Source organism: Homo sapiens, chromosome 9 (genome assembly GCF_000001405.40).
Source record: "Homo sapiens chromosome 9, GRCh38.p14 Primary Assembly".
NCBI classification, from domain to species: domain Eukaryota; kingdom Metazoa; phylum Chordata; class Mammalia; order Primates; family Hominidae; genus Homo; species Homo sapiens.
In genome coordinates this window covers 41099864-41126354 of record NC_000009.12, presented here as the reverse complement: position 1 = coordinate 41126354, position 26491 = coordinate 41099864, and the positions used below count along the sequence as shown (strand labels likewise).

The following is a 26491-nucleotide window of genomic DNA, read 5'->3' as shown; positions in this document are numbered from 1 at the left end:
AAACAATTTATTTTCACAATTCATATTTATTATAGATAGCAGAAGTAATCCATTTTAATATGGCCTTTAAAAATTCCAAATATTTGAGGTTGAAAATGTCCTGGCTTTTAAAATAGGAAATTTACTATTTATGAGACTTCTAAAAGAAAAGAATAGGAGGGCATGTAAATATATTCTCCATTTATTTTTCATCACCCCTCAACAAGCTGGAAAACCATTTGAGATCAATTTGGAATGTAGTGGCCAACATGTACTCAGAGAAAATAAAAGGCTATAAATTATATATATATATATATATTTTAAGCACTAGAATTTTCAAAACTTATTTCTTAAAAAAAAAACAACTCTGAAAAGACTTTGCAACTAGAAAGGTTTAAGTGTTACTCGGCGTCAGGGGACGGAGTGGGGGGAAACCAGACAAGAACGCCCATCATGAATTGCTCCCCACAAAGAAAACAAATTTCTAGGAACTTGGCCGTTTTCCCCTGTCCTGAGTGGGGTTCCCGATTCCGTGCCGCTTTGAGGGAAGCTGCTCCGTGAATGTGAGAAAGTTTTTCCCCCAGCCCCCATCTACTCCCCACCCCCAGCTATGAATTTCTTATTTCAGGAGGGAGGACAAACATGGAGACACACATTTTTACAAGAGTCTAATTGGCCGATTTTTCTCCGGCTTCTCTTCTCCATCCCGTCTCTTGGAATTTCTTGGCACGCCCTACCTGAGATCCCCTACGGGAGATTTCCTCTTGGCTCCTGCGGTTCTGAGGACGTTCTGAAAAGTTCCCAAGCCCCACCTTTGGTAGCTGCCCAGACCCCAGCTTCCAATTCTTCCCTCTTCTTTGCACAGGTAGCCGTCAGCCCCATAGCACCACCAGCGTCCAAAATAGACCACTTTTAGCAAATCCGGCAGGGCTGGGGCAGTCTAAGAGTTTGGAAACAAACTGAGAATAGAGGGGTCCTATTTCATGCCAGGTTCTCGCTGGTTTACGGTCCAACTCCCCTCTGTCCGTTGTGCGAAAACGTCTCCAGGCCGACCTTCATTCATTTATTGTCAACAAACGTCCTGGGAGAGCGGCTACAGCCGGCCGCTGAACCCAGAAGGGACTTTCTCTAGGCTTTCTTGGCACCCTCCCAATTATCTTCCTTCTCTTGCCCGAGGGCAGACCAACACAGCTACGAACATGGGTGACTGAGGGTCAGACCCCTTCCCGGAACCGCCTCCAAGCTCCTAATTTTTGCCTAATGTTAAACCATATCCAAAGATGAATATTTAAACAATCAATTCAGTGGCGGAGTAAATTAAACGTTATTCTCCGATCAAACAGGAGCTTCGGGTCCACCTGTTTGGAAGCACCCAGGCAGCTTGGAGAGGTCCGGCCTTCGGGTGCGACCCGCAGGGGTTGCCCTGCCCGGCTCGCGGAACGGACGTTTACCTGTCGCAGCTACGAACCCACCAACGACACCAAGCACTTGCCGGGCAGACCAGGCGTCGTGGAGGCGCCCCAGCCCCCCCACCCCCCCCGCAACGACGCGTCCCAGGGGTGCGTAGTGCTTGGCGCGGTGACCAGACCTGGCCGCCTTCCTGACTGCACAGAGCAAGAGGCCACACTCTGGATCCCAGGCCGGGTCCCTGTGGTTCTGGGAGGGAGGTCCCGGATGCCTCCCAGATCTCGGGCTTCTGTAACCCTGAGGCTGGGTTTTAAAATCACGGCTCTTCCAAGTTACACGAAGAGTCCATGGTCAAGGGTCAAGGGTGGTCTTCGACCCTCGGGGTCGTCTTCTTGAGAAATGGCTGAGAGCTAAGCCTAGAGCTGCCCAGGGAAGGAAGCCAAAGAGCTGGAGCCGAGCGCGAAGGGCTGGGAGGCGCGGGGAGGCCCCTTACCCCCGCCCGCCCCCCACACTGTCCTGGCCGCTAATAACGCTGATAATAGTAACAGTATCGGCCAACTGTTTCCCCCCTGCTCCTGGTCTGCCAGGCACCGGATCCTCCTTTAGCACTCCCAGCACTCACTGAAGAAGACACTATGGAATTCTCCGTTTTCCAGACTAGAAATAAGTAACTCGGAGAAATTAAGAAACTCGCCCGACGACCCTCAGGCAGTAGCACCTGGCCAGGTTTGCTTTCTGAACCACTAACTCCACTCGCGCACGCCACCTTTCCTGCCTGGGCCTCTTGCGGGTCGCAGGGGTGGAAGCCTGACCTGGGCCAGGGCCCGGATTTCTTCCTCCTGGCCTCTGTCCCACCGCCCCCGGTGCCAGGAAGCGCTTTTCTCTCCCCGAGACCCAGAGGCGCCGAAAGACTCGCGCGGTCAGTTCCCTACCCCACGCCCTGGGCTGTGCGTTTTCTTGCAAGCCTCTGCCGAGTGCGGGGAACGGCGCCGCCAGACTCCCCCAGACCGCGCTCCGGCTCACGCCTGACTAGAGCACTCTGCTTCACAGAGGGGCGTTCTGCGCGTTCTTCCTCCCTGGTGTGATTTTCGTTCTTTTTCCTCTCATGGTCCCCAAGAACCCAGGCACCCCTCGACGTAGGTGCCGGCGGTACCGGGAATCCCTCCCCTGGACTCCCTGCGGGCCCGAAGCCACCTTCTAATCCCAGCCGCCTTCCCAAGGCGGCGGAGGTGGGCAGCTCCGGGCTCCGCGCCGCCCCGCGAAGCCGGAATTTCTCTTCGGAGTCTTGATACAGCTCTCCACTTCGTCGCCCCGCACTGGATCCTGGTAGCGTGAAACTTGCCCAGGAAGCTGGGCTGCGCTGGCCTGGGGTGAAGGTCCAAGAGACGAGGAGGCCGGGACGCGGGGCTGTCGCAACGACTGGCCCTCTGCGAACCCTCAGGCCAGCAGGTTCGGGACTATAGGAGTGGGAGTGGAGGTGGTGGCCACTGGAGAGTAGAGAGAACGTCCAGGAACCGGTGGACTAGGGGTCCCCGGCGGCTGGCCGAGGGTTGCAAGCAGAGGGGACTATCGGTTGCCAGGAAGTCCCAAGCAGATGCCTTCTGGCAGGGCAGTCACATTCTACAGTGCCGATTCTGTGTACATTGAGTATCCAAAATGAATAAAATCTGTTTATACATTGGAATGTAGCTTATGATTCCAAAATCTCATCTCCAGGCTGCCTAGATCACACGGCCCCGTTTCATTCATTTTTACTTAATAACGGTCGTTAGACAATTTAGAGAAACAGCAGAAACCACGAGAAAAATAATGGAATCAAACGGCGATAAGGACTAACAAGGCTGGCGGGGAGATTTAGCAAATGGTGGCTTCTGAGAGTTTGCACCAGTCCTTCACCACATTTTATTGGAAGTGTGGAGAGTCATGATTCTCATTCCTCCCCAGCCTTCCGGAAAAATGCTCAGAAATTTCTTTCCACATTGACACCTGATTACAGTCTAAATAGTAACCTTATTCTGATTGTTAATGTAACCTTCTCGTAATTTCTACAAAAATACTTTAGTTTTTCTAGCTGTGTTTTCATGTAATCACTGAAATTATTTTTAATTGGTTTTAAGCATTCATTGATTCCATATACACCACCTGCAAAAAGGTTACATAGGTGATCGCTAACAATACTAGAATTCGCCCCATCCAAAGGAAACATTAGAGTAGAAAAAGAAAAAGGATTTGAGAATCCAGTATGAAATTCAGTTAATCATTACTTCCCTGTTACTCAACTACCTTAACATTGTCAGGTTTACCTGAACATAAACTTCATTTTCTTAGTTGTTCTTAGAACGAAGGGATATGTTTATTGAAATCAGTAATTAAGAATATTTTGGGACAGTTATGATTTACTTAGCCAGTGAAGCAGTTTCTATTCCCAAATCCAGGCAAAGAGAACAATAAGATTAAACGTAGCCTAAGAGATTTCCTTTTTGTCAAATAATGTGATTTTGCTATGTATAGAGGAGATGTCTATATGTAAGGGCATATTTATGACCAGTAGTTCCTAAAATTAAGGGGACTATTATTGTGTTACTCAAGGTATCAGTTGTATAGGATACATTATGTCATATTTCAAACAATGTTTATAAAGAGATTAGTATAATTAACCTGTATGTACTTCTCCTCTGGGCCAACCTTGTGTCTTCTTTATCTGCTGACAGTCCCCTCCCCACTGAATTATTTTGAATCAAATCCCAGATAGTCTATCATTGTATTGTATTTTTGAATATTTCTCTAAAAGATAATAATTCCATCAATGAGACTGGATGCAGTGGCTCCTCCCTGTAATCCCAGCTCTTTGGGAGGCAGAGGTTGGAGGATCACTTTAGGCCAGGAGTTCAAGACCACCCTGAGCAACACAGCAAGACCCCATTTATAAAAAAGAAGATTCCCATCAATGTAACCACAATACCATTATCACACCTAAATAATCCATTAATAGCATCGGTTTATCCAGGCAATATTTAAATATCTTCAATTGTCTAAAAACTTTTTGTTTAGTTGGTTGGTTTGAATTAGAATGCTAATAAGGGTTACGTATTGTGTTTGGTTGATATGGGCTATTATATCTCTTTTAGATTTCCTCAATCCTCTTTTTTTGTTTCCCTTGCATTTTTTATGGGAGAAACTGAACTGTTTGTTCTGAAGAAGTTGACATTCTGGACTTTGTAGCTGCAGGTAATAGTTTTTTGGCAAGATATTCCCAGGGATAAGGTCGTTTATTCAGACTTTTGAATATTGGCAAATAATAATATTGTTTGTAGAGGGAGAAGGATTAGTCAAGATATTTTTAAGAATCAACTATTGAAAAAACAAATTTTTATCAGAGTAAGCATGGATCTGGTAAAGATTATGTGAAATTTTCCTAAATGCAAATACAATCTAAAATTGTAATGTCTTACAATTAAAAAATAGATTATTTTCCATATATTTATAGAAATATAAATGATCAATCAACTATTTCACTGACAATTTTAAATCTAGTTTTATCTTGAGGAGAATAAAGTTTTTTATATCTTTAGTATTTTAGTTGAAGATCCAAAGACATTTTATGTTAAAACTTTAGGTTTTATATTGTTTTGTGTTTTAAAACATAAAATCTAAAATGTGGTAATATCCATGAGGTGCAGATAGAGTAATAGCACAAATTCTGTGTTCATGAAAATTCATTTTAGGATAACTTAATTAAAAGGACTCAGGATTTGAATGATATTAGATTAGACAGAAAAAAGTTCACCTGAGTGTAAGACATAAGTAATAAAAACCAAAGGTAGCTAACTTTTTTAGGCTTCTTCTTTCTTTAAAGAGTATGCATATGAAATAAAATTTCCATGTCAATGTCCATTTTTCCATGGTACATAGGGCTTCTATAATTTCGTCTATTTCATCCTGCAGTTATTTTCACGGGTTTCTGTGTCCACCACTATCTGGAATCTCTGAGATGGTGAAAACGAAATCTTATTCTTCTTTATATTTCAAACAATTCCTAGCACATTATCAAAAATACCTGATAAAATTTATTGTGTCTGTAATACTGGTAAGCATTACCACCCTTTTGGGTGGTAAATATATAGGCTTTAAGTTTAGATAGATCTAAATATTATTAAAATTACCAAATTATTGTTTTTAAAAAGTATTAGTTTCCTAGGACAAATAGAGATTTTTCGATAAGGCTGGATTTGTAATACTTTAAGCAACAGGTCACAGTGCTTAAGTATTTAATGCCGATTTGGCAAGCAGCTGATGTTTTACATAATGCTGTCGGGTATTTTATATTTGCGTGTATTTTCTGATGCACTGGATCCAGCACTTCATGTCACGTCATATATCTGTTTATAATATATACAAATGTATTTTCATATATATTTGATGTTTGATGGCTTTGAAACTTTAATCTTGAAATAGATTTTAAATTTTTATTAAAACTATTTAAATAATTACCGTAAGGAAAGAGCTCTTATTAGTTGAAAGAAAATGTAGATTCATGTTTCCTTGGAGACTAGTCTAGTTTCCAAGGATAGACGGCAGTGAGGAGTTGGGTATCTAGATGGAATTTCTGTTGGTTTGGATTCCAGCTCTGCTGCTTACCAGCTTTGTGACCTCAAGCAAACAACTTAACCTCTCCAAGCCTCAATTTCCCCATCTATATAATGGTGATATTTATAAGTTTCACCTTATAGGGCCATGGTGGGGATCACATGAAATAGTGTATGTGAAGTGCTTAGCACAGTGCCTGGCACATACTCAATGCTCTATGCATGTCAGCTAGTACTTAATGATGCTAATAAACATGTTGTGTCCCTAAGCACGGGTGGAATCTTGCCTGACGTCCTTCTCTCTGCGTCCTGGTCAGTCTTCACATGGTGGGCCTCCTTTATTTCCGGTCACACACGGGTGGTACACAGAGCATGCTGTTTCTTTCCTGCCAGAAGGTTCCTGCTGCAGCTCTCCTGCTAGTTTAGCTTAGCCTTCTGGTTTGAGGGATGAGTCACATGTACCATCACTTCCCAGGACCAACAGGACCTTTCAGGAAAGCTATCCCTGCTTACACAGAGAATTGCCCTTGCCTAACACTGAAGCCTGGCAGAGTAACATGAAATAACCACAGCAATTCTAAAATTAGAATTAGCATGCCTAGAATAACAGGTATAACCTTCTCTTGTACTTTATCACTTGCTTCATTTCTGCTCAGCCTAATTTTCACTTGATGTGTAGATTTATTTTTTGTTCACCCATCCAGAAAATGTTGACTGAGGAATTACTCTGTGTTAGGTGCTGTTGTAGGAGCAAGGGATACAATGATGATCAAGGCAGATGCAGCCGTTACCTTCAGGTTGTGGAGTCCGGATACAGACTGGAGGCAGGCAGCTGTAAGATGTGTGAGAAATGCTGCGCTGGATCAGCCCATGGTATTAGGAGAGCAGGTAAGGAAGGGTGGGGACAGGAGCGGACAACCTGGAGGAAGAGGCACCTAAGCAGAGTCCGGAAGGCTGAGGAGGAGTCAGCAGGTAAAAGAGAGGGGAATCATGACATGCCATCTCAACTGTAGGGCACGGCTAGCTGGCTGACTTAGCTGCTGTAACACCGGATTTTTGCAAGACTCCCTGAGTATTTCTCGTGGACTTGCGAACAAATCTGAGCAAGAAAACCACGTAATTTCTTTTATGCCTTCCCCAAGAAAGCCACCTGGAGGGGCAAGGGGACCTTAGCAGAAAGAAGCTGGAGGTGGGGGGAGAACAGGGTGATATTACTCTCCATATGGTGGGGGGTGGACACCTCCCTGTCATATGGCTCGTAATATCCAGCGGGGGAGAGGGGGTTGACTTTCCCCTACGTTATTGGTAATATCACCCCCCTCTCTCCCGCTAAATATTAAGTACAATATCACAGGTGGGGTGTACACCCCCGGCGATGTTTGAAGTAATATCAACTTCTCCCCCTCTGGATGTTAGAAACAATATCACAGGGGGGTGTACACCCCCCTGCGATCCTGGAAGTAACATCATCCTCTTTCCCCCGGATATTAGGAACAATATCACGGGGAGGGGGGTGCACACCCCCTGCGATATTGAAAGTCATATCATCTTCTTTCTCCCCGGATATTAGGAACAATATCACAGAAGGTGTTTACAACTTTTGCAATGTTGGGAGTAATATCATCCTCTCTCACCCTAGATATTCAGAACAACATCACATGGGAATTGTACCCTTCTGTTTATTGAGAGTAATATCATCCTCTCCCTTTCTGTATATTAGAAACAATATCACAGAGGGCTGTGTACACCCCCAGGAATGTTTTGAGTAATATTATCCTCTCTCTGCCTGGATATTTGGAACAATATGACAGGAGTTGTGTACACCCACTGTGATATTCGGTTTAATATCAACTTCTATCCCCTGGATATTGGGAGTAATATCTATCTTTAGCCCCTGGATACTAGGGACAATATCACAGGAGGGGTGTATACACACGGCGCTATTGGGAGTAATATCATTTTCTCCACCCCTTGATATTAGGTACAATATAACAGTGGGGATGTGTACCCCCTGGGATATTGGGAGTAATATTAATCTCTTCCCCTGTGGATGTTAGGAACAATATCACAGAAGGGGTGTATACCCCCAGCGATATTGGGAGTAAGATCATCCTCTCCCAACTTGGATATTAGGAATAATATCACAGGGGAAGTGTATAACCCCTGCGATATTGTGAGTAATATCATCCTCTCCCAAAATGGAGATTAGGAACAATATCACAGGAAAGGTGTACACCTCTTCTGATATTTGTGGTAATATCATCTCCTCCCCTCATTGATATTAGGAAAGATATCACAAGGTGTGTACAGCCCCTGCGATATTGGGAGTAATATTATTCTCTCTTCCCCTGGATATTAGAAATAATATCACAGGCGGAGTGTACAGCAAACCCCCTGCGATATTGGGGGTAATATCATCCTCTTTTAACCTGGATATTAGGAACAATATCACAGGGGGCTTGTACACTTCTTTTGACACTGGGAGTAATATCATCCTCTCCACAAGTAAATAGTAGGAAAAATATCAAAGAAGGTGTGTACACCGCTTGTGATATTGGGAGTAATATCATCCTACCTCACCTGGATGTTAGAAAAAATATCGGGGGGCGTTTACACCACCTGCGATATTGGGAGTAATATGATTTTCTACCCCAGCGGATATTTAGAACAATATCACAGGGGCAGTGTACACCCTCTGAGATATTGCGAGTAATATCGTTCTCACCCCGCCGCCCCCACCCCAGATATTAGGAACAATGTAACAGGCAGATTATACACCTGCTGCAACATTGAAAGTAATATCATCCTTTTCCCCCTGGATATTAGGAACAATATCTTATGGGGGGTTTACAGCCCATTCCATTTTGGGAGTAATATCAACTTCTTCATTGCTGGAAATAAGAAACAATATAGCAGTTCTGGTGTACACACCCTGTGATATGGGCAGTAATATCATAGACTCTCCCCCGGCATATTAGGAACAATATCAGAAAGGGGTGTATACCCACAGCGATTTTGGGATTAATATCATACTCTCCCCCCTGGATATTAGGAACCATATCAAAGAAGGAGTGTCTACCCCTTGCGATAGTGACAGTAATATCATCTTCTCCCTCCCTGGATATTAAGAACAATACCACAGAATTGGCGTACACCCACTACGATCATGGGAGTAATGTCATCCTCTAACCCCTGGATATTAAAAACAATATCACAGAGGAAGTGTACACCCCTCGCGATATGGCCAGTAACATCATCGTCTCCTCCACTGCGTATTAGGAACAATATCAAAGGGGTGTGTACACCTCCTGCGCTATTGGGAGTAATGTCATTCTCTTTTCCCCTGAATATGAGGAATAATATCACTGATGGGGTGTACAACTCCTACGATATAGGCAGTAATATCATCCTCTCCCAACCTGGATATTAGGAACAAAATAACAGGACATCTACACCCCCTGCGATACTGGGAATAATATCATCCTCTCTCCCACTTAATATTAGAAACCGTATCCCAGGAAGAGTGTAAACCCTCTGAGATATTGAGAGTAATATCATCCACTCCCTACCTAAATATTAAAAACAATGTCACGGGAGGGATGTACACCCCTACAATATTGGGAGTAATATCATCCTCTCCCTCCCGAGATATTAGAAACAATATAAAAGGGGTCGCGTACACCCCCTGTGATATTGGGAGTAATATCATTCTAATCCCCCCTGGATATTAGGAAGAATATTATACAGGGGATGTACACCCCTTGACATATTGTGAGTCATATCATTTCTCTTCCCTTGGACAATAGGGACAACATCACGGAGGGGGGTTGTCCCCTGTTATATTGAAATTATTATCATCCTCTCCCAAACTGAATATTAAAAACAACGTCACGGGGCTGCTGTGACCCCAGTAATATGGACAGTACTATCATTGTCTCCCTCCCTAAATATTAAGAACAGTATCACAAGAGAGGTGTACACCCCCTGCGATATGGCCAGTAATATCATCGTCTCTACCTTTGGATACTAGGAACAACATCACAGAGGGTGTGTACACCCCCTGCGATATTGGGCATAATGTTAGCCTCTCTTCCCCTGGACATAAGGAACAATATCCCTGGTCGGGGGAGGTGGAGTACATTAAGAACAATATCTGAAGGAGGTGGGTGTACACCCCCTGAGATATTGGGTGTAGTATCATCCTCTCTTTCCTAGGATATTAAGAACAATATCACAGGAGGTGTGTACAGCCCCTGCGATATTGGGAATAATATTACCCTATCCCCCTCTCGATATAAGGAACAATATCCCAGGGTGGGTGTACATCCCCTGCGATATTGGGCGTAATGTCATCATCTCCCAACGTGGATATTGGGAATAATGTCCCAGGGGGGTGTACACCTTCTTCGATATTGGGAGTAGTATCGTCCTCTCCCCTCGGGATTGTAGGCAAAATATGGAAGGGGTTTTACAGCTCATGCGATATGGGCAGTAATATCATCCTCTCCACCTAGATATTAGGAACTATATCACAGGCGGCTGTACACTTGTTACGATATTGGGAGTAATATCATCCTCTCCCATCATGGATATTAAGAACAATATTCCAAAGGAGGTGTACACCCCCTGCGATACTGAGAGTAATATGCTCTCCCCTTCGGGATATTAGGAACAATATCGCAGGAGGTGTGTACAACCCCTGTGATATTGGGAGTGATATCGCCTTCTCCCCCTGAATATAAGGAACAATGTCACAGGAGGATGTACACCCCCTGGGATATTGGGAGTAATATGATTTTCTCCCCCTCGAGATATTCGGAACAATATCACAATGGGTGTGTATAGCCGCTGCGACATTGCCACTGGTATCATCCTCTCCCTCCCAGGATATAAGGAACAATGTCACAAGGGGTGTACACCCCCTGCGATATTGGGGGTAATATCTTCCCCTCCCCCGCTGGCCATTAGGAACAATGTCACAGAAGAGGTGTCCACTCCCTGCTACATTGGGAGTGAGATCATCCTCTCTGTCCCTGGATATTAGGAACAATATCCCTAGGGAGTGTACACCTCCTGCAATATTGAGACTAACATCATCCTCTTGCCCCCTGGATATTAGGATCAATATCACAGGGGTGGTGTACATCCCCTGCGAAACTGGAAGAAATATCATCCTCTCCACCTTTGGATGATAGGGACAATATCACGGGGGAAGTCTACGCCCCCTGCGGTATTGGGAGTCATATCATCCTCTCCCACCCACGATATTAGGAAAAAAGATGACCGAAGGGATGTATACACACTGCGATATTTTTCATAATGTCATCCTCTACTCCCTGGCAATTAGGAATAACATCATAGAGGGGTGTACACTTTCTGTGATATTGGGAGTAACATCCTCTACCCCTCGGATATCGGGAACAATTGTATTAAGTATTAATATTCATAAATATAATAACAATTAATAGAAATCATCGATATAAATAATTACTATAAAGATAGTAAAAGTTAATACGGATTAAAAATATTAATGTTTACTATTAATAATTAACAGCAACCTCACTATTAATAATAACATAATGATATCGGTAATTAATGTTACTTAATTAAATCAATAAGTGATGTTGGTAATAAAACAATAATTAATATTAAGGTTAATAACGAATATTGAAAAATGACAATACTAATAATTAATTTTAACCATGCATAATCATATTTAAAATAATCATTAATGATTAATAACGTTATACTATTAATTAATATTACCATTGATAATTATTAAGACTGATGTTTAATAATTAGTAATATTATTAAGACTGATGCTTAATAATTAATCATATTATTTCTCCTAATACCGTAGGGGGTGTACACCTACCTGTGATATTGTTCCTAATATCCAGGGATGGAGAGCATGATATTAGTTTTAATACCTCAGTAGGTGTACACTCACCCTGTGACACTGATCCTAATATCCAGGGGATAGAGCATGACATGACTCCCAACATAGCAATGAATGTACAGCCACCCGGTGATATTGCTCCTAATATTCACGGAAGAAGAGTATGATATTACTCCCAATATCGCAGGGAGTGTACACCTCTTCTGTGACATTGTTCCTGGTATCCCGCCGGGGAGAGGATGATAAAAATTAAGTATCGCAGGCTGTGTTCACTCACCCTGTGATATTGTTATAAATATCCTGAAAGGGAGAGGACGATATTACTTCCTATAACAGATAGATATTACTCCCCATAATAGAGCAGGAGGTGTACACCCACCGTGTGATACTGTTCCTAATATTCAGAGGCAGAGAGGTCGATATTACTCTCAATATCGCAGGAAGTGTACACCCCCGTGTGAGATGGTCCTTAATAATATTCCAAGGCAGAGGGGGTGATATTACTACATTTATCGCAGAAAGTGTACACCCCCCCCAGGGATGTTGTTCCCATGATCCTGGAGAGAAGAGGATGATATTAGTTTAAATATGACAGAAGGTGTACACGCCCCAACTGATATTGTTTCTAATTTCAGTGTGGGAGAGGAGGATATGACACCCAATATCGCAGGGAGTAGAAACACACCTGTGATACGGTTCTTAATATTCAGGGTGGAAGAGGATGATATTACTCTCAATACAGACGGGTGTACAACCTGCACACCGAGGGTGTACACCCATCTGTCAAACAGCACATAATTTCCAGAGGGGGAGATATTACCCCCAATATAGTAAACAGGCTGTGAGTCCACCGTGGATCGTAATAACTCGGGGGGGGAGAGGAGGTGGCTCTTACTCCCCATATCGCGGGGGGTGCCTCACCCCACTGCGAGGTGGATCATAATAGCGAGGGGGGGGAGAAGGGGTGGCTGTTACTACCCATATCGCGGAGGGTGCCTCACCCCCGACATGTGGATCGTAATAAATAGCCGGGGGGTGGGGGAAGGGGGTGGCTCTTACTCCCCATATCTCAGGGGGTGCCTCACACCCCTGCAATGTGGATCATAATAAATAGCTGGGGGGGAAAGGGGGTGGCCCTTACTCCCCATACCGCGGGGGGTGCCTCAACCCCTGCGATGTGACCTGTGTCCGTTGTGAGCATTCTCTTTTTTCCTGCTATTAGGAACAATTTCACAGAGTGTGTGTACACAGCCTGCGATATGAAAACTAATATCCTCTGCACCTCCGCATATACGGACCATATCACACAATGGGTGTACACTTTTTGCGGCATTTGGGGTCATGTCATCCTGTGTTTCCCTAAATAGTCGGGGAAATATCACAGGCCTATTCGGAGGCACATCCTACTTTTGCTACTGGAAATTAGGATTAATATCTCAGATGGGGTGTAAAGCCGCTGTCATATTTGAAGTAATATCATGCTCTCCCCCACTAGTTGTGACGCACAGTATCACAGGGGGTATATACCTTCTGCGGTATTGGGAGTAATATCATCATCTCTTCCTTTACATGATAGGAACAACATCAGAGTCGGGGTGTACACCCCGTGTGTTTTTGAAAGCAATGTCATTCACTCTTCTTCTAGATTTTACGATTCATATCACAGGCGGGGTGTGCACCCCTTCTTATATTGGGAGTCATCGGATCCTTTTTCAAGCTGTATATTTAGAACAATATCCCATGGGGCTGTACATGTCTTCGATACTGGTCGTAATATCATCTTGTCCTTTCCTGGATACAAGAAAAAATATCACAGACGAGGTGTACACCCCTTGTAATATTGGGAGTAATATCACCTCTCCCCATGTGGTTATTAAGGACAAAATCACAGGGTGGTGTACAGTTCCTACTTTATTGAGAGTAATATCATCCACTCACCCCCTGGATATCAGGAGCCATATCACAGAAGAGTTGTACACCCCCTTCGATATTGTCAGCAATATCACCGTCTTCCCACCTAGATATTAGGAACAATACCCCGGGGGGGCTTGGGGGTGTACACCCACTGCGAGATCCAGAGTAATATCAGCCTTTTCCCGCTGGATATTAGGAAGTATATCACAGGTGTGTGTGCATCTTCTGCAATATTGGGAGTAATATCAGCCTCTACCCCGCTGCATATTAGGAACAATATACGGGGGGCGTGGGGGTTACACTCCCTGCGATATTGAGAGTAATGTTATTCTCTTCTCCCTGTACATTAGGAACCATTTCCGGGGTCGTGGGGGTTACGCTCCCTGCGATATTGAGAGTAATGTTATTCTCTTCTCCCTGTACATTAGGAACTATATCACGGGGTCTGTACACCTTCTGCCATGTTGGGATTAATGTAATCCTCTCCCCCCACTGAATATCAAAAACAATATCACAGACGGGCGTACACCCTCTGCGATATGGCCAGTAATATCATCGTCTCTACCTTTGGATACTAGGAACAACATCACAGAGGTTGTGTACACCCCCTGCGATATTGGGCGTGATATTAGCCTCTCTTCCCCTGGATATGAGGAACAACATCCCTGGTCAGGGGAGGTGGAGTACATTAAGAACAATATCTGAAGGAGGTGGGTGTACACCCCCTGAGATATTGGGTGTAGTATCATCCTCTCTTTCCTAGGATACTAAGAACAATATCACAGGAGGGGTGTACAGCCCCTGCGATATTGGGAGTAATATCATCCCCTCCCCCTCTCTATATAAGGAACAATATCCCGGGGTGGGTGTACATCCCCTGCGATATTGGGCGTAATGTCATCGTCTCCCAACGTGGATATTGGCAATAATGTCCCAGGGGGTTGTACACCTTCTTCGATATTGGGAGTAGTATCGTCCTCTCCCCTCGGGATTGTAGGCAAAATATGGAAGGGGTTTTACAACTCATGCGATATGGGCAGTAATATCATCCTCTCTCCACCTAGATATTAGGAACTATATCACAGGCGGCTGTACACTTCTTGCGATATTGGGAGTAATATCATCCTCTCCCATCATGGATATTAAGAACAATATTACCAAAGAGGTGTACACCCCCTGCGATATTGACAGTAATATTTGGCTCTCCCCTTCGGGATATTAGGAACAATATCGCAGGAGGTGTGCACAACCCCTGCGATATTGGGAGTCATATCATCCTCTCCCCCTGAATATAAGAAACAATATCACGGGAGGATGTACACCCCGTGCGATATTGGGAGTAATATCATTTTCTCCCCCTCGGGATATTCGGAACAATATCACAGTGGGTGTGTACAGCCGCTGCGACATTGCCACCAGTATCATCCTCTCCCTCCCAGGATATAAGGAACAATGTCACAAGGGGGCGCACACCCCCTGCGATATTGGGGGTAATATCTTCCTCTGCCCCGCTGGCTATTAGGAACAATGTCACAGAAGGGGTGTCCACTCCCTGCTATATTGGGAATGAGATCTTCCTCTCCATCCCTGAGTATTAGGAACAATATCCCTAGGGAGTGTACACCTCCTGCAATAGTGAGACTAAGATCATCCTCTCGCCCCCTGGATATTAGGATCAATATCATAGGGGTGGTGTACACCCCCTGCGAAATTGGAAGAAATATCATCCTCTCCACCTTTGGACGTTAGGGACAGTATCACGGGGGATGTCTACGCCCCCTGCGATATTGGGAGTCATATCATCCGCTCCCACCCAGGACATTAGGAACAAGATGACTGAACGGAGGTACACCCGCAGCGACATTTTCAATAATGTCATCCTCTACGTCCTGGCAATTAGGAGAAACATCATAGAGGGGTGTACACTTTCAGCGACATCGGGAGTAATATCCTCTCCCCCACAGATATCGGGAACAGTTATATTAATTATTAATATTAATAAATATATTAATAATTAATAGTAATCATCGATATTAATAATTGCAATAGAGATAGTAAAAGTGAATATGGATAAAAATATTAACAATTACTATTAATAATAGCAATATCACTATTAATAATAAAATAATGATATTATTAATCAATGTTACATAAATCAGTCATAAGTGATGTTGGTAATAAAACAATAATTAATATTAAGATTAATAACTAATATTATTGAAAAATGACATTAATACAGATAATTTTAATCATGCATAATTGTACATTTAAAATAATCATTAATGATTAATAACGTTATACTATTAATTAATATTACCATTGATAATTATTAAGACTGATGTTTAACAATTAATAATATTATTAAGATTGATGCTTAATAATTAATCGTATTATTTCTCCTAATACCGCAGGGGGTGTACACCTACCCGTGATATTGTTCCTAATATCCAGGGATGGAGAGCATGATATTAGTTTTAATATCTCAGTAGGTGTACACTCACCCTGTGACACTGATCCTAATATCCAGGGAGTAGAGTATGACATGACTCCCAACATAGCAATGAATGTACAGCCACCCGGTGATATTGCTCCTAGTATTCACGGAAGAAGCGTAGGATATTACTTCCAAAATCGCAGGGAGTGTACACCTCTTCTGTGATATTGTTCCTGGTATCCCGAGGGGGAGAGGATGATAATAATTCCAGTATCGCAGGCTGTGATCACCCACCCTGTGATATTGTTATTAACATCCTGAAAGGGAGAGGATGATATTACTCCCCGTAATAGATAGATATTACTCCCCATAACAGAGCAGGAGGTGTACACCCACCCTGTGATATTGTTCCTAATATTCAGAGGCCGAGAGGTCGATATTACTCCCAATATGGCAGGAAGTGTACACCCCCGTGTGAGATGGTCCTTAATAATATTCCAAGGCGGAGGGGGAGATATTACTCCCAAAATCGCAGAAAGTGTACACCCCCAGGGATATTGTTCTCATGATCCTGGAGGGAAGAGGATGATATCACTTTAAATATCACAGAAGGTGTGCACGCCCCCACTGATATCGGTTCTAATTTCCACGTGGGAGAGGAGGATGTGACGCCCAATCACACCTGCAGTAGAAACACAGCTGTGATACTGTTCTTAATATTCAGGGAGGAAGACGATGATATTACTCCCAAAACAGACGGCTGTACACCCTCTGCACACCGAGGGTCTACCCCCATCTGTGAAATAGTTTATAATTTCCAGAGGGGGAGATGATATCACTCCGAATATCGTAAACAGGCTGTGAGTCCACCGCGGATCCTAAAAACCAGGGAGGGAAGAGGGGCTGGCACTTACTCCCCGCATCGCGGGGGGTGTCTCAACCCCTTGCGATGGGGGTCCTAAGAGCCAGGGGGGGAAGAGGGGCTGGCTATTACACCCCGCATCAAGGGGGGTCCCGTCGATGGGGGTCCTAAGAGCTAGTGGGGTAAGAGGGCCTGGCTCTTATTCCCCGACTCGCGAGGGATGCCTCCCCCCTCTGCTATGGGGGTCCCAAGAGCCACGGGGGAAGAGGGGCTGCCTCTCAGTCCCCGCCTCGCGGGGGGTGCCTCCTCCTCCTGCGATGGGGGTCCTAAGAGCCAGGGGGGGAAAGGAGCTGGCTCGCAGTCCCTGTCTCGCGGGGGGTGCCTCCCCCAACTGCGATGGGGGTCCTAAGAGCCGGGGGGGGGGAAGAGGGGCTGGCTCTCAGTCCCCGCCTCGCGGGAGGTGCCTCCCCCCACTGCGATGGGGGTCCCAAGAGCCAGGGAGGGAAGAGGGGCTGGCTCTCAGTCCCCGCCTCGCGGGAGGTGCCTCCACCCCTTCCCATGGGGGTCCCAAGACCGAGGGAGGGGAGAGGGGCTGGCTCTCAGTCCCCTCCTCCCGGGGGTACCTCCTCCGCCTGCGATGGGGGTCCCAAGAGACAGGGGGGGAAGAGGGGCTGGCTCTCAGTCCACGCCTCGTGGGGGATGCCTCCCCCCCCTGCGATTGGGGTCCCAACAGCCAGCGGGGGAAGAGGGGCTGGTTCTCAGTCCCCGCCTCGCGGGGGATGCCTCCCCGTGCTGCGATGGGGGTCCTAAAAGCCAGGGGGTGAAAAGGGGCTGGCTCTCAGTCCCCACCTCGCGAGGGGTGCCTCTCCCCCCTGCGATAGGTGTCCTAATAGCCAGGGGGGGAAGAGGGGCTGGCTCTCAGTCCCTGCCTCGCGGGTGGTCCTTCACCCCGCTGCGATGGGGGTCCTAAGAGCAAGGGGGGGAAGTGGGGCTGGCTCTCTGTCCCCGCCTCGCCGGGGGTGCCTCGCACCCTTGCGATGGGGGTCCTAAGAGCCAGTAGGGGAAGAGGAGCTGGCTCTCAGTCACCACAGCATGGGGGGCCTTTCTGTTCTGGTTTTGCCCAAGAGTAAGCTTATTTGCATCTGGTTCTAGCAAGGGAATTGCTGCGAAGGCCCTCAAACAGGGGGGCCATCCTTTCGAATCCCTATCTAGTTGTTTAGAGATGTAGGCCACCGGCCTCAGCCAAGGCCCCACAGTTTGGGTTAAAAGTCCAGCTGCCATCTTTTCTCTCTGACGCATACAATGGAAAAGGCTTTGTGAGATCGGGTAGCCCCTCGGCTGGGGCTTTCAGAAGTTTTTCCTTTAAGTCATGAAAGACTTGCTGTTGTTGGAATCCCCATTCCAAAAGTTCCCGGTCCCCGCCCCCATTGTGACCTCATACAAAGGCTTGGCTAATACTGCAAAGTTTGGGATTCCCAGTCTACAAAACCCCACAGCTCCTAGGAATTCTCTCACCACCCTTGTGCCTTTAGGCTTCGGTAGATTGCAAATGACCTGCTTTCTTTCGGATCCCGGGCTGCTTTCGGACACCTGTCGAATAGTAAATCCCAAGTAAGGTACCTGCGGTCGTCGGCAGATCTGAATTTTCTTCTTGGACACCTAATACCCACAGTCCTCCAGGTCGGTCCTAAGGATCTTAGAATCCGCGATGGGGGTCCTAAGCCACGGGAGGAAGAGGGACTGGCTCTCAGTCCCCGCCTCGCGGGGTGTGCCTCCCCCGTGTGATGGGGATCCTCAGAGGTGGGCGGGGAAGAAGGGCTGGCTCTTAGACACCGCCTCGCGGGGGGTGCCTCCCCCGCCTGCGATGGGGGTCCTAAGAGCCAGGGGGGAAAGAGCGGCTGGCTCTCAGTCCCCGCCTCACGGGGGGTGCCTCCCCACCTGCTATGGGGGTCCTAAGAAAAATGGAGGGAAGAGGGGCTGGCTGTCAGTCCCCGCCACGCGGGGGGTGCCACCCCCCTGCGATGGGGGTCCCAAGAGCCGGGGGGAAGAGCGGCTGGCTCTCAGTCCCCGCCTCGCGGGGGGTGCCTCCCCCCCCTGCGATGGGGGTCCCAAGAGCCAGGGAGGGAAGGGGTCCCAAGAGCCAGGGGAGGAAAAGCAGCTGGCTCTCAGTCCCCGCCTCGCGGGGGGTGCCTCCACCCTGCGATGGGGGTCCCAAGAGCCAGGGGGGAAGAGCGGCTGGCTCTAATTCCGCGCCTCGCGAGGGGTGCATCCCCCCACTGCGATGGGCGTCCTAAGAGCCAGGGAGGGAAGAAGGGCTGACTCTGAGTCCTTGCCTCGCGGGGGGTGCCTCACCCCCTGCGATGGGGATCCTAAGAGCCACGGGGGGAAGAGGAGCTGGCTCTCAGTCCCCGCCTCGCGAGGGGTGCCTCCTCCCCCTGCGATGGGGGTCCTAAGAGCCAGGAGCGGAAGAGGGGCTGGCTCTCTGTATCCACCTCGCGGGGGGTGCCTCCCCGCCCTGTGATGGGTGTTCTAAGAGCCAGAAGGCTTAGGGGGGCTGTCTCTCAGTCCCCGCCTCGCGGGGAGTGCCTCCCCTTCCTGCGACGGGGGTCCTAAGAGCCAGGGGGGGAACAGGGGCTGGCTCAGTCCCCGCCTTGCGGGGGGTGGCTCGCTCCCCTGCGATGGGCATCCTAAGAGCCAGGGGAGGAAGAGGGGGAGAGGATGATAATAATTTCAGCATCGCAGGCTGTGTTCACCCAGCCTGTTAAATCGTTATTTATATCCTGAAAGGGAGAGGATGATATTACTCCCCGTAATAGACAGATATGACTCCCCATCGTAGAGCACGAGGTGTACACCCGCCCTGTGATTTTCTTCCTCATATTCAGAGACCGAGAGGTTGATGTCACTCCCAATATCGGAGGAAGTATACACCCCCGTGTGAGATGGTCCTTAATAATATTCCACGGCGGAGGGGGTGATATGACTACATACATGGCAGAAAGTGGAAACCTCCCAGGGATATTGTTCCCACGATCCTGGAGGGAAGAAGATGATGTTACTTTCAATATGACAGAAGGTGGATGAAGTGGTGGACTGCCCCTCCACACCTGTGAGTATTTCTAGTTGGGTGGGTGGGAGGAGAGACTGAGAAAAGAAATAAGACACAGAGACAAAGTGTAAAGATACAACAGTGGGTCCAGGGGACCGGCGCTCAGCACACCAAGGACCTGCACCGGCACCAGCCTCTGAGTTCCTTCAGTTTTTATTGATTATGATTTTCATTATTTTAGCAGAAAGGAATGTAGTAGGAAAGCAGGGTGATGATAAGGAGAGAGTCTGCAGAAGACATGTGAGCAAAAGAATCTATGTCATAATTAGGTTCAAGGGAAGGTACTATGACTGGACGTGCACGTAAGCCAGATTTGTTTCTCTCCACCCAAACATCTCAGTGGAGTAAAGAATAACAAGGCAGTGTTACTGCAAACATGTCTCGCCTCCCGCCACAGGGCAGCTTTTCCCCTATCTCAGAGTTGAACGAATGTACAATCGGGTTTTACACCGAGACATTCAGTTCCCAGGGGCAAGCAGGAGATAGTGGCCTTCCTCCACCTCAGCTGCAAGAGGCTTTCCTCTTTTACTAATCCACCTCAGCACAGACCCTTTACGGGTGTCGGGCTGGGGGACAGTCAGGTCTTTCTCATCCCATGAGGCTATATTTCAGACTATCACATGGGGAGAAAGCTTGGACGATACCCTGCTTTCAAGGGCAGAGGTCCCTGCGGCTTTCCACAGTGCATTGTGCCCCTGGTTTATTGAGACTAGAGAATGGCGATGACTTTTACCAAGTATACTGCTGGTAAACATTTTGTTAACAAGGCACGTCCTGCACAGCCCTACATCCCTTAAACTTTGATTTTATACAACACATGTTTTTGTGAGCTCCAGGTTGGGTCAAAGTGGCTGGGGCCAAGCGGCTAGGGCAAAGCTACAAATTAACAACATCTCAGCAAAGCAATTGTTTAAAGGACAGGTCTTTTTCCAAATGGAGTCTCTTATGTCTTTCCTTTCTACATAGACACAGTGACAGTCTGATCTCTCTTTCTTTTCCCTACAGGTGGACACGCCCCCACTGATATTCCTTCTAATTGCAGCGTGGGAGAGGAGGATATGACACGCGATATCGCAGGGAGTAGAAACACCCCTGTGATACTGTTCTTAATATTCAGGGAGGAAGAGGATGATATTACTCCCAATACAGACGGGTGTACACCCTCTGTACACCGAGGGTGTACACCTGTCTGTGAAAGAGTTCGTAATCTCCAGAGGGGGAGATGATATTACTCACAATATGGTAAAGAGGCTGTGAGTCCACGGAGGATCCTCAGAGCCAGCGGGGGAAGAGGGGCTGGCTCTCAGTCCCCGCCTCGCGGGGGTGACTCCCCCCAGTGCGATGGGGGTCCTAAGAGCCAGTGGGGGAAGAGGGGCTGGCTCTGAGACCCCGCCTCGCGGGGGGTGCCTCCCCGCCCTGTGATGGGGGTCCGAAGAGCCAGAAGGCTTAGAGGGGCTGGCTCTCAGTCCCCGCCTCGCGGGGGGTGCCTCCTCCCCCTGCGATGGGGGTCGTAAGAGCCACTGGGGGAATAGGGGCTTGCTCTCAGTCACCGCCTCGCGGGGGGTGCCTCCTTTCCTTTCTACATAGACACAGTGACAGTCTGATCTCTCTTTCTTTTCCCTACAGATGGACACGCCCCCACTGATATTGTTTTTAATGCAGCGTGGGAGGGGAGGATATGACACGCGATATCGCAGGTAGTAGAAACACCCCTTTGATAGTGTTCTTAATATTCAGGGAGGAAGAAGATGATGTTACTCCCAATACAGACGGATGTACACCCTCTGTACACCGAGGGTGTACACCCGTCTGTGAAGGAGTTCGTAATCTCCAGAGGTGGAGATGATATTACTCACAATATGGTAAACAGGCTGTGAGTCCATCGCGGATCCTCAGAGCCAGGTGGGGAAGAGGGGCTGGCTGTCAGTCCCCTCCTCGCGGGGGGTGCCTCCCCCACTGCTATGGGGATCCCAAGAGCCAGTGGGGGAAGAGGTGCTGGCTCTCAGTCTCCGCCTCGCGAGGTGCCTCCCCACCCTGCGATCGGGGTCCGAAGAGCCAGGGGGGAAGAGGGGCTGGCTCTCTTCGTGGATGATTCTTTTTCCATTCTCAGGCAGTTTTCTTTTTTCTTTCTTTCTTTTTTTTTTTTTTTGAGACTGAGTCTTGCTCTGTTGCCCATGCTTTGCTCGATCTCGGGTGACTGCAACCACTGCCTCCCAGGTTCAAGAGATTCTCCTGCCTCAGCCTCCTGAGTAGCTGGGACTAGAGGCGTGTGTCACCACACCCAGCTAATTTTTGTATTTTTAGTAGAGATGGGGTTTCACCATGTTTGCCAGGATGGTCTCTATCTCCTGCCCTTGTGATCCACCCACCTCAGCCTCCCAAAGTGCTGGGATTGCAGGTGCGAGCCACCGGGTCCAGCCTCTCAGGCGATTTTCATACCTGCATACTCTGGTCACTACTCTGTTAAACAGTCAAGGAGGGTAAGTATTATCTTCAGATTTCCAGAGCTCTGTCTCTGTACAGCCCTCTCCTCCTCAATATTCTGCCCTATGAATTCTAGCCACATTGGCCTTCCCAGGCTCACAGTTCTGTCTTCTCAACTCAGGAAGATCTCTGAGTTCCATCTGCATTCTTTCTTCCTGTGCTGTGGCCTGGAAAGTTTTCTAAGGTGTTAGGGAGGTCAATTGTGGGGCTAGCCTCATTTGTTTCTCATCTCTTGAGGATCACTGCCCTTTGATGCTTGATTCCAGTGATTGATTCCCTTTGTTGCTTGAGGGCCATAGTTTCATATATTTTGTCCAGTAGTTTTGTTGTTTTAGGTCAGAAAGTAATTTTGGTCTCTGTTACTCTATCTTGGCCAGAAGTGTAAGACCTAAGCATTTACACATCAAAATACTGCACACATAATTTTAGTTTAAGCTACTTTTTAAAAAATCTCCTTCATTTTCCATTTAGCATTCTATTTAGGGTATTACATTGGTTTTTTTGAAATTCTGTTATTGGCAGTTTCTATTGCCTATCAATCCCATTTAAAGATAGTGCATAGGGTATTCTAAAATAGCTGTTAAGCAAAGAGAAAATTGGGCCTGATAGGGTGAGAATCACAGCTCTAATACCTAGAGTGACCTTATAATGTATTGTCCAAAGGAGATATTTTTGACAGTGAAAGAGGGTGTTGTTAGTAATTATATCAGGACCATGGCCTAAACCAGGACTATCCCAGGAAGCCTGGGACATATTTGTACCCCATCTCTATTTAATGCCTTTATACAATTCTTTACTTAATTCTACCAGCCTTTATTGAGCCTGCTTTCTTTGTCTAGCTGAGTGCCACGTGCTGACGTCACTAAGATCAATACAGCAAACTCTGAAAGATGGACAGAGAGACAGGAGATGGTCCTTTATAATGCAGTGTGATCTGTGCTGCAATAGAGGTGAGCACAAGGGCCTTACGAAGGTTCAGTGAAGAGCATGCTTGACTGCAGGGGAGGGTACTTAGGTTAGAAAAGATGAGTTGAAGTATGTTCATAGGGAGCATGAGATGAGAGGTGGTGGGAAAGGTATTCCAGACAGTGTGTGTCAAGGCCAAGAGCCAGGGGAACACAGGTAGGGCTTTTTTTTTTTTCTTCTAAGATGGAAGAGTGTTCTGATCGGCTGGAAAACAACGCACATGGGAAGCTGTACAGAAATGAGTGGGGAAAGGTAATACTTAACAGCAACAGCAGTTAATATTTAGTGCCCACTTACGACATGCTGGACACAGTTCCGGGTACTCTGAACATATTTGCTCATTTAATCTTTACAACAACCCTATGAGGTAGGTACTATTATTATCCCCATTTTCAGGTGAGGAATCTGAGGCACAGAGAGAGTAAGTATGTTGCCCAGGGCCACGCACCAAGTATGTGGTAGGTCCTGGAGTTGAATGCAGAGCCCCTCCACTCTAAACTCCTGAAAGCCAGATGCTACAAGGCATTGTTATTCCAAGTGGAGGAATGCTAAGGACATCATCCTGCAGGTGACCAGGAAACCCTGAAGCATTCGAAGCAGGGGAATGGCTTAAAACAAGATGGTATAGGAAAGTGCTCCCAGAGCAGCATGAAAGTCTGGTGTAGTGGAGGTCTCCGCTAGCCACAAGAGGTGGTAAGAGGCTGAGCTGAAGCAGCTGCAGCAGGGATGCAGAGGATACATTCCCCAAACCCTTATGGGCAGAGTCCTTTGGCTTCAGTGACCACGGCCAAGGGTGCAGAGGAGAAGCCCAAGAAGATGCCAGGTGTCTGGCTTATGCCCCTGTGTGAACGTGAAGCCTCTCATTGACATGCAGGTTACAGGAGGAAAAGCAGGTTTATTTGGGAAGGAGGCTTCTAGACCATGACTTCCATTTTAGCCATGTAGTTTTTGAAGTGCTTGTACAAGTTCTAGGTGGAAATGTCCAGGAGGCAGTGGGGAACTCAAAGTAGATCTCAGGAGAGAGGCTTAGGCCAGAGGGCTTGGGGAATCATCAGCATGAGGGTGGGAGGAGAGCTGGTATTTGGATGAGATTGCAGTGGAGCATGAACAGAGTGGGAAAAGGTGGTGATGAACCCAGGGACTCCAGTATGCGGTAGCTGGCTGTGAGATTAGGAAGCAATGAAGGAGGCCGAGAAGGATGTGGGGGAGAAGCATCAATAAGGAATAAATGAGTTGCACGTGCTCCAGAGAGGCCAACTAAAGACTGGATTTGGCTCTCGCAGGTCATACACGAAAGAATCTTGGAACCAAAAGGAAAACTGTGGTGGTTTAAAGGGTATATTCTGTTTCTAGGTCTGCTGTCACAAAATACCAGAAACTGGGTGTCTTGTTAAAACAACAGAAATTTTTTCTCTCACAGTTTTGGAAGCTAGAAGTTCAAAACGAGGTGTTGGCAGCACCATGCTCTCTCTGAAGATGCTAGGAAGAATCTGCTCCATGCCTTTCCATTCGCTTCTGGGGTTTCCTGCAAGCCCTGACATTCCTTGGCTTGTAGATGCATCACCCCAGTTTCCGCCCCCATCATCACATGGCCTCCTCTCTGTGTGTGCCTCTGCGTTCCCTCTATTCTTCTTCTAAGGACACCGACACCAGTCATAGTGGATTAAGTGTCCACTCCTAACCAATTACATCTGCAACAACCCTATTTCCAAATAAAGTCACATTCTAAGATTCCTAGGGAGAACATGAATTTTTGGGGGTGTGTGGATACTGTTCAACCTGGGACATGGAGTAAATAAATGGCAAGGAAGATTACAGATGACTTTAAGCTAAAGAGGGAGATAGGGTTAAATGTAGGACTTTTTTTTTCCAGGACGGGAGAGGTTTAAACATGTTACTACATTGAATAAATGAAATAACCATGGACATGGAGTGGCTAAAGATTCTGAACTAAGTGCAAGTAATTGATAGCGCAAGCTCCCAAGGGGCTGGGGCCTGGAGCACAGATGGATGGATCCATTGTGGGCAGAACTGGGGCGTGGGAGGGGTGTGCCGATGCAGATGTGTTTGAGTGTGGGGGGCCAGAAGCTGATTGGGGCGAAGCGTGACAGTGCAGCTCCAAGCACGCTGGAGGTGTTCACCAAGCAAATCAAGAGCAGATGGCAGAACAAGCAGCTGAAATAACAGCTTGTGAAATCAACCCTACTTTGTGGGGAGAGGATTAGTTAAGGATTCTAGCCATGAGAACCAAGAAGAGGAGGATAATCTGTTCATGCCTATTATGGGGCTTTGGGGGAGCAGTTTCAGCCTCAACCTGGAGAATGTTTTAGAAGGCCAGAGAAAGGAACCCTGCAAATCATGTGAGCTGGCCCCTCACTTTGAGATGAAGTGTCCATACAGCAGTAACGCCACCCTCTGTAGTGGTTCTAGAGTGTGGCAATCTGGAGGGGTCATTATGGAAAAGGGCTGAAGCATAAGAATGTAGGCCCAATACTGAGATAGAAAGAGGATTCTCTGAGATGACTTAGGCAGGGTGATGGTGGTGGAGGTGGGTGTAAGAAGCCCTCTGCTGCCTCAGTCCGAGCATGGGATTCAATTGGTCAAGAGCAGAGCCAATCACCATTTAGGCCCCCTTGTTAGCCTTAATTTATTCCTCAGGTATGGAGAATACTCCTCAAGATGCATTCAGAGTGTAAGCTCCCTCTTCCGCAGCAGAGGACTGCCCTGCAGGTTTGCAGTTCTGTCATTTGGAAACTCCCTGATGTGTCCCTTGGCTCTTCCCATTCTTTTGCTTCAACACATTTTAAGACCAGGCACCTTAACTGCAGAAACAGCATGAAAAACAAGTAGG

At 46.9% G+C, this 26491-nt stretch overlaps 1 long non-coding RNA gene across 3 annotated transcripts, besides 2 other annotated features; it reads left to right on the top strand.

Annotated features, from left to right (window-relative positions):
* Positions 1-1540: 1540 nt before the first annotated feature.
* On the top strand, positions 1541-25388 carry LINC03025 (long intergenic non-protein coding RNA 3025). 3 transcript variants are annotated; one of them, NR_147036.1, is made up of 8 exons: positions 1541-2112; positions 4609-4614; positions 6709-6860; positions 18614-18761; positions 19967-20190; positions 21196-21887; positions 23514-23624; positions 25061-25388. It is a non-coding gene; the product is annotated as a long intergenic non-protein coding RNA 3025 (long non-coding RNA). The 3 variants fall into 3 exon arrangements; NR_147037.1 differs by lacking the exons at positions 1541-2112; positions 4609-4614; positions 6709-6860 and adding an exon at positions 23824-23892 and having other exon boundaries at positions 17425-18761; positions 21196-23624; NR_015361.2 differs by lacking the exons at positions 1541-2112; positions 4609-4614; positions 6709-6860 and having other exon boundaries at positions 18543-18761; positions 21196-23624.
* Positions 18575-19349: an enhancer, noted in NCBI's record as "H3K27ac-H3K4me1 hESC enhancer chr9:69180235-69181009 (GRCh37/hg19 assembly coordinates)". NCBI's record gives its function as "activates a minimal SCP1, AML or CMV promoter by ChIP-STARR-seq in naive H9 embryonic stem cells {active_cell/tissue: H9 hESC(naive)}" and the evidence as "EXISTENCE:reporter gene assay evidence [ECO:0000049][PMID:30033119]".
* Positions 19350-20125: an enhancer, noted in NCBI's record as "H3K27ac-H3K4me1 hESC enhancer chr9:69179459-69180234 (GRCh37/hg19 assembly coordinates)". NCBI's record gives its function as "activates a minimal SCP1, AML or CMV promoter by ChIP-STARR-seq in naive H9 embryonic stem cells {active_cell/tissue: H9 hESC(naive)}" and the evidence as "EXISTENCE:reporter gene assay evidence [ECO:0000049][PMID:30033119]".
* Positions 25389-26491: the final 1103 nt, after the last annotated feature.